Below are 8,864 nucleotides of genomic sequence, written 5' to 3' on the forward strand. Positions count from 1 at the left end.
AATAAAAATGTGTAAGGTCTCAAATACCAGGTTACTTACTGCTTTAGATGGTATTCAGAGGGGAGCCATTGAAAGTTTATAATGAGAAGGAAAACAAACATGATTTTCTGGTTCCTAATACTTTCCCATGGACAGTAACTATTTGCCTACAGATTGAGCAAACCATGGTGTTCTGTAAGATGCCTGGATTGTTCTGAGCACCAGGACGCTGGCTGCAAGGTGCGGGGCCCTTCGTCCACCGGGGTCTGTCCTGGTTCCTGGGCGAGCTGTGGCAGGGTCTTTCTGGCAGTCCACCCAGTGCCCTGTGGCAGGCGATCAGGAAGCAGAGGCAGAGCAGCTGGGGGAGGACTGGGATGACTGAACCTCTCCTGCTTAGGTTCAGGGGCCCTCCCTTCAAGGTGCGGCCTGTGTGAGACACGCATCCACAGCCCGGTAACCAAAACTGGCACACCCAGCACAGTCACCTCCACGGCAGCACATGACCTACATCAGCCAGTCAGCAGCTCTTACTGGGGAGCTCCTAGGTCCAAGTGCATGTGCAGCAGGACAGGGAGGGGGGCTTACCTACATTGAATTAGCAAAGTGAGATATACACACATGAGAAGTTCCAGAAGTAGCAAAGGATCACGGATGGTTGCAGAAGCTGATTGGGGTGGAAGGAAGGACTTCGAGAGGAGATGGCACTGGAGCTGGGAGTTGAGGGAGAACTAGAGTGAAATTAGGAAACACGAAGATGAGAGGGTGTTTTGGCCATGGTGATAAAAAAGGAGTGGGAGGACACGCGTGAGGTGTGCTCCAGAGAGGTGAACACTCACTATGGCAGAGCCCATTTTGGGGGCGGGTGCCATTCATTGGCCATTAAGGTGGCAAAGCTAGGTTTAAACCAGCCTTTCTATGTTTCTGAAAGTCAGGCTGAAGGTTTGGACGGTCTTCAGAGAAGAACCATGGAAAGTTTTTGGCAAAGAAACCAGATTCAGTGAGACGGTGTTGATGGAGAATTCAGTCTGTGCCAGGGATTGTGTTAGGGACTGGGGGTTCGACCGTGTTAAGACACGGTCTCTGTCTTTAGAGAGTATCTAACTGGGGGAATATGACACATAAGAAACAGATATTTTTGGTTTAACGTGATAAGGGCTGTGGTAAAAATATTCAGAGCAAGTTGTTGCAGCTTAGGAGAAGGGCAGGACACCTGGTTTTGTGGAACACAGGGAGGGAAGAGGAGGGAGTCAAGTGTGAAAGTCAGTGTACACAATGGGAGGGTTTGTACCTTCTGAGGGCGAGAGGCGGGGAAGAGATGTGGACCAGACGTGGACTCCAGCCTGGGGAGTGGCAGGGAGGATGCCGGAGCGATTCAGGAGGTGGATGAACCAGGTGAGGGTGGGAGAGAGTGGGAAGTGGTCGTTAATTGAGGTGGATGAGTCCAGCAGCCCTCTGACGAGTGGACAGGAAGGTACTAGAAGGTAAAGACACCCATCAGGAATGAAGGAACCTGGTACAAAGTGAGAAAAGCTGGAATGGAGAAGGAACAAGACAAATAGGCTCTTGGAATGGTTCAGCTGCCTTGCTGAGAGTGGTCTGTGAAAGCGGGGATCTTACTGCAGTGAGGTTTCTCTTTTAAATAAGTCTGCTCCTTCTTTCTGTTACATCAAAAGAAGAAGAAAATTCCTCAAAACCTCCCAAAGACCACCACGGCTAACACTTTGGAAATATTTCCTTCAGATCATTTTTCCTACATCGATTTGTGTTTGGTTTTAACATGGTTCTAATCACACTGTGGATCCTGCTGCCTTTAACATCCTAGCGTGTATATTTCTCTGCATGTTAAATTTATCCTGGCTATGACAGATGTTCATGTTTCCATGTAGATTTACGTGAAGATGCTCACTTTGCCACTTTTTGTTTCTTGCTTCACAGTAAACTTTGAAAATGTTGCTCCGTTCCCTTCCTTCCCATACCCCCCTCACTCACTTACCTCACTCACTCACCTCGCTCACTCACCTGGCTCACCTCGCTCACCTCACTCACTCACCTCACTCATCTCATTCACTCACCTCACTCATCTCATTCACTCACCTACCTCATTCACTCACCTCGCTCACCTCGCTCACTCACCTCATTCACTCACCTCACTCACCTCACCTCACTCACTCACCTCGCTCACTCACCTCGCTCACTCACCTCGCTCACTCACCTCATTCACTCACCTCACTCACCTCACTCACTCACCTCACCTCACTCACTCACCTCGCTCACTCACCTCGCTCACTCATCTCGCTCACTCACCTCACTCACCTCGCTCACTCACCTCACTCTCTTGCTCACTCACCTCACCTCACTCACTCACTTCACTCACCTCGCTCGCTCACTCACCTCACTCGCTAGCTCGCTCACTCACTCGCCCCAACCTTCTTTCTTTCCTTCCTTCTTCTTTTTTTTTTTTTTGGAGATGGAGTTTCGCTCTTGTCACCCAGGCTGAAGAGCAGTGGCGCAATCTCCGCTCACTGCAACCTCCGCTCACTGCAAACTCCGCCTCCCAGGTTCAAGCGATTCTCCTGCCTCAGCCTCCCGTGTAGCTGGGATTAGAGGCGCCCACCACCACACCTGGCTAATTTTTGTATTTCTAGTAGAGACGGGGTTTCACCATGTTGGCAGGCTGGTCTCGAACTCCTGACCTCAGGTGATCTGCCCGCCTCAGCCTCCCAAAGTGCTACAGGCATGAGCCACCGCGCCCGGCCTCTTTCCTTCTTTCTTATAGTTCCTAGTTCTCTTCTTACTGCCTCCCTTCATTTCCAGGGTCATGAATAGACATTTTCTTTCAAATCAGCAAGTTTCTTTTTAAGACATACACCAGAGAATATCTCTAAGGCCTAAACTCTCAGAGGTTTCAAGTCACCTGCTGGGCAGAGGAAGGATTTCTGGTGATGGAGGCCTCACTCCAAGGGGCGAGGGACTGGCGGCTGATGACTCCAAGGCAGGGACACTTGTCAAGATGAAGAGGAAGGGAAGGCGAGACTGGGCCCAAGCAGATAAAGGTGTTTCCTGGATTTTTCAAGGCCATAGAGGCTCAGAAAGAGGGGACTATAACACATTCCATTTAGAGGGGGAAAAAATGTATGGTGTATCAACTAAGCCACTGGCCCACATTTGGGAGGAGTTTTAATATTAAAGAGCAGGGCCGGGCGCGGTGGCTCATGCCTGTAGCACTTTGGGAGGCTGACGCCTGTAATCCCAGCACTTTGGGAGGCCGAGGAGGGCGGATTACGAGGTCAGGAGATCGAGACCATCTTGGCCAACATGGTGAAACCCCGTCTCTACTAAAAATACAAAAATTAGCCGGGCGTGGTGGCAGGTGCTAATCACAGCTACTCGGGAGGCTGAGGCAGGAGGATCGCTTGAACCTGGGAGGCGGAGGTTGCAGTGAGCTGAGATTGTGCCACTGCACTCCAGCCTGGTGACATAGCAAGACTCTGTCTCAAAAAAATAAAATAAAATAAAATAATATTAAAAAGCAGGAGTTCCCAACCCTGCTCTAAAATACCTGTAGGTCCATGGCCTGTTAGGAACAAAGCCACATAGCAGGAGGTGAACAGCAGGCAAGCAAGCAAAGCTTCATCTGTTTTTACAGCCGCTCCCCATCACTCCCATTACTGCCTGAGCTCTGCCTCCTGTCAGAACTGCTGCAGCATTAGATTCTCATAGGAGCTTGAACCCTATTGTGAACTGCACATGCGAGGGATCTAGGTTGCTCCTTATGAGAATCTAATGCCTGACGATCTGTCACTGTCTCCCGTCACCCCCAGATGGGACCATCTAGTTGCAGGAAAACAAGCTGAGTGAGGATTCCCACTGATTCTATACTATGGTGAGTTGTATAATTATTTCCTTATATATTACAATGTAATAATAATAGAAATAAAGTGCACAATAAATGTAATGCACTTGAATCATCCCGAAACCATTCCACCCCCCAACCGTGGAAAAATTATTTTCCACGAAACCAGTCCCTGGTGCCAAAAAGGTGGGGACCACTGGTATGGAGTGTTTCCAGTGAGGCTTCATAAGAACCAGTTTGTTCTTCCTTTGCTTCCTACCTAATAGGTACACACAGCCTGTCTCTCTCTCTCTCCCCCGCAACCCTGTGTCTCTCTCTCCCCCGCAACCCTGCGTCTCTCTCTATGTCTCTCTCTCACACACACATACTTTCTTTTTCTCTATCTCTGTGTGTGTGTCTCTCTCTCTGTTTCTCTCTCTCCTTGGCTCTCTTTCTCTCTCCTTTAACCCAGTGAAATTTCCAAAGGAGCCTTTGTTCAGTACACATGATAACAGGTTTCCTTTGTCCCATATGCCTACCACTGTCCCCAGCCCTTGTATATGTATTTCTCACAACACTTTCAGGAGGAAGATACCATCATTATGCACAGAAAGGATACCTCGCTTGTCCACAGTCACACAACCAGTCAGTGTCAGAGGCTGGATTAGAACTCAGATCACCCGCCTCCAAAGTCCATTCTTTTAACCACTGTGCCATACTCTGATCTCGCTATATTATATTCTTTCAACTTCATGGTTTTCAAAGAGAAGATAGAATCACAGTGGGATTTTATTGCAGAGACAAACATTACGTTCAAAGTTCTTTTGACCTGAATGTAGATGATGTACCAAAGACTCACAATTTCTTGCAGTTCAGTCATTGGGTGACTGCTTTATCCAGCCAGGCAAGGAGTAACCCAGGAAAACATTTTGCCTTTTCCTAAGCTGTCTGGAGAACAGCTAGGCCTTTGCCTTAATAGTGTAGCCTGGCCTTAGCGATGTTGAGGCTTTGTGTTCATCTGACTTCCATGACCAAGGGCCTCAGAGTGAGGACAATGTGTTCCACTGGCTTGATCTAATGAGAATATCATTGCCTGTGCCTGGTGTGTTGCGGCAGTCCACCCCCTCATCCCCCAGTGCCCCCATTCCTGTCTCTGTACTGACTAGCAGAGTAAGGAATCTATAGAGTACAGAACTCTATCTGGAAGACGAAATCGCCAGTGTTGATTTCTAAAGCTCCCTTTTGTGCAGCTTGCTTCTGTGAGGATCTTGAAAGACTTTCACTCTGCAGCAGCCAGGACTGGAGTCCACTCACCCCCACTAGCCACATGCTTCCTGCCCCAAATGTCAAGGTTTTCATTTGACCATGGTATAATGAGCTGTATAAAATTAAAAACAGCTAAATACCACCTTATTTACAGTAATTTTCTATTTTCTGTGCTCATCACCGAAACCTCTCCTTAACAACGCCAACCTCCAGATCATACCAATCACCTCTGAGAAGCCCAATCACTACAACCACTAACCACAACATAAATCAACGTGAGGACCTGAGAGCTCGCTTGCTCCCACTCTGTCCCTAGCCCAGCCTGGTTTTTCCATCACATGCTTCTTAGGCAGCAGGGAGCTGAGGCAGGGGGAACATTTAGTTCCTTTTTCAAAGACTGGGAACACTTAAAAATATCTCCAAGTAAGCAACCAGCATTCAGAGGATGCTTATTTACACTTTGTAGGAGCCTGGTGTTGGGACTCTGGCTCCTGGATGGCGTCAAACCTGCCCTTGGGCTTGGCCGAGGCTGGTCTGGGAGTACCATTTGCAAATGGCTCTTGCTTCACGGTTGCATCTCCATCTGGGTAAACAACCTAGCGACAGCGCTGGCTCTTCTTAAGGCTGTCTGTTATGGACTGAACTGTGTCCCTCTCAGATTCACTTGTTAAAGTCCTGACCCCAGTACACCTCAGAATGTGACTGTATATAGAAATAGGGCATGTAAAGCAGTCATGACGGTTAAGTAAGGTCATATGGATTGGCTCTAGTTCAAACGTGACTGGTATCCTTCTAAGAAGAGGAAGAGACACCAGAGCTCACTCTCTTTCCACGCACACAATGGCCATGTGAGCACACTGTGAGAAGATGCCATCCGCAAGCCAAGAAGAGAGGCCTTGGGAGAAACCAAACCTGCTGTCACCTTGATCTTGGACTTCCAGCCTCAAGAACTGTGAGAAAATAAATTTCTGCTGTTTATTCCACCCAATTTGTGGCATTTTGTTATGGCAGCCCAAGCCAACTAAGATACCATCCATGTAATTTCTTCTTGTATGGCAAGGTCTTAACATGAGACATGAATGAATCAATGGCCATTTCTATGCAGAAATTTAAAAGCATTCTTGAGTTCTCATGGGGAGATTTAAATTCTCCATATATGAACCCCTCTAGCCTGTACTTTCTTATAGGAAAATTCTCTGTGAGATTGGAATATTCCAGAAGTTAACCAAAAGGATCTTAATTTACACTCTATCTCCTATTCCTCACATTCCTAGTACTGTTAATTACTCTCCTTCCTCAACCTCTGCTCCATCCCTTTGGCAAGCCCATGCATTTAGTAGATGTTTATTGAGTGCTTCTCTAGGCCAGCTTAGGCTTTAGGCACTGGAGGTACGGGAATGAAGAAAACAGATAAGGCACGTGCTCTCACGTGGCTTCCATCCTAGCAGAGGAAAACAGAAATAAAAATAAATAAATAAATAAATAAGGACTATGTCAGATAGTGAAAAGCTATTCAGGAATTTTAAATACAGCAATGCAAGAATGACTGAGAGCCTGCTTTGGTTAGGCAGACAGGAACTCTGTCCTTTCCAACTAAAAACCATTCTACTCCCTCTTCTCTTCTTTCCATCAGCATAACTACCCCTTGAGTGCAAGCTCCTGGGCTGGGCTCCTGCAAAAGCATTCTAATTGACCTCTCTGCCACCTCCTTTGCACCACTGCAGTTCATTTTCCACATAGCAGCTAGGGAAATATGTAAAAAACAAAGCTGGTTTTCATTATTCACAATAGCTGTGTTCTATAAAGTTGCTTCAAACCCTGAATTCTGGAATACTGAAGCATTGCTCCTAGGGGAAACACAGGGTTAGGTTCCTATGAGCCTCTGATCACCCATCAGTACATAACTTTGTTTTATGTGTATTTCTGTGTAAAGACACCTCATTTAATATATATTGTTGACTCATTAACATTGAATTCATGGCTAACAGCACAATAACTCATGCCTGAGCAAAACTTATCTGACATACATATTTTCTACATAAGGCACTTTCTGGCCTTCCCGTGCTTATGAACACTGGACAGCACTTCAGTACTAGTCTGTAGTGGGGGCAGGAAAAGTGGACATTTTAAGCAACAAAATCACCAACAAAGAGCCAAGAAAAATGTAAAATAAGATGGCACTAAATAGACCACAAAAAGGTCACTTGTTTATAGTAAGAGAGCTGAAACAAGAAGAGAGCATGTCACTTTGACCTCAGCTAGCAACCCGCAGGTTAGGTGACTCACATTTTTTGCTTTGCTCATGTCTGTGAATGACTGCAAACTTGTCACCCAGTATTGGTCTTGGGGTAATATACAGGTATTCCTATGGTTTAAATGTATCCCTTCCAAAATTCAGGTGTTGCCAATGTGACAGTATTGAGAGATGAGGGCTCTAAGAGGTGATTAGGACATGCAGGCTCCTCCCTCTTGAATGGGATTAAGGTCCTTATAAAATAAGCTTCACACAGTGTTAGCTCACTTGCCCTTCAGCCTTCTGCCATGTGAAGACACAGCATTCCTTCCCTCTGGAGGACACAGCAACAAGGCACCATCTTGGAAACAGAGAGAAGCCTTTGCCAGACAACCAAACCCGTTGGTGCTTTTATCTTGGACTTCCCAGCCTCCAGAACTGTGAGAAAATAGCTTTCTGTTCTTTATAAGCTAGCTACTCGGTCTCAGCCATTTTGTTTTAGTAGCACAAACGGACTATTTTTGGTATTCTCTCAGGAATATTTCTCTGTATTCCATCAGCGAGCTACACATGCTTCCTGGGAGTTGATACGCATAGGAATAATAGACTCACGGTAGCAAACATTCAGTATCTGTTAAGTAAATGACTGAATGCATTAGTAAAATTTCAAGTGCTGCTTTTCTTTAAGTTAGGAACTGTTTCATTACATTGAAATCTCCAGCGGCTAGCACAATACCTATTGTAGATATCTAAGTTATGTTTGATGAATGAATGAATGGTCATAAATTTTGAATATTAAATTAGACATAATAAGAACAGTTTATCAACTCTAAAGCTTTTGAAAGTGCCCAGATAGTCTCTTCAGAATCACCACAAAATTATTTATCGGCCTCTTAATCCATAATTAAACGTGCTATACCTCTATTTTTTGAAAAATTACTTCTTCAATATTTTTTGTTTTTTTATCACTGTGACTATGAAAAGATTACTCAACTCTATTGATTGCCAATATAGAATAGTTCAGCTACATGATGATTTAATAAGGGTTTTATAGACTGGGAACTCAATTCTCATCTATTTACGATATTGTGTTCATGAGAAAAATGGATTCCAAGGTCTAAAACAGACTTTATCTAATGCTTTCTGAAAATACGATTCATTTAATAATATAGACACTTAAATGGATTTTATTTATTCTCAAATACATGGCATAACCTCAAATCTCAAAAAAGGTCATGGGGTGTCAGACCTCAGTATGATTTTCTGTCATATTTAAGTCAAGTGGCTTTTTTTCTTCCAAATTGCTCACCCCTACAACCATTCTTTTATACTTGTTGAATATAGATTTAATTATTGTCATATGCAGTGAGTCTCTGCTTTTTATCAAGTTTCCCATTCCTGGAAAGTTTATGACACAGTGAATTGACTCAAAGTAGATTATATTTTACCTTAGGAACAACAATAGAATTGAAGAGTTTTGTTCTTGATTTAACATCAAATAAATTTTAGATACAGCCATAATATGTCACAAAGGCAAAAACACAACAGTTTTAA

This window comes from Homo sapiens, chromosome 1 (genome assembly GCF_000001405.40).
Source record: "Homo sapiens chromosome 1, GRCh38.p14 Primary Assembly".
In the NCBI taxonomy this organism is placed as follows: domain Eukaryota; kingdom Metazoa; phylum Chordata; class Mammalia; order Primates; family Hominidae; genus Homo; species Homo sapiens.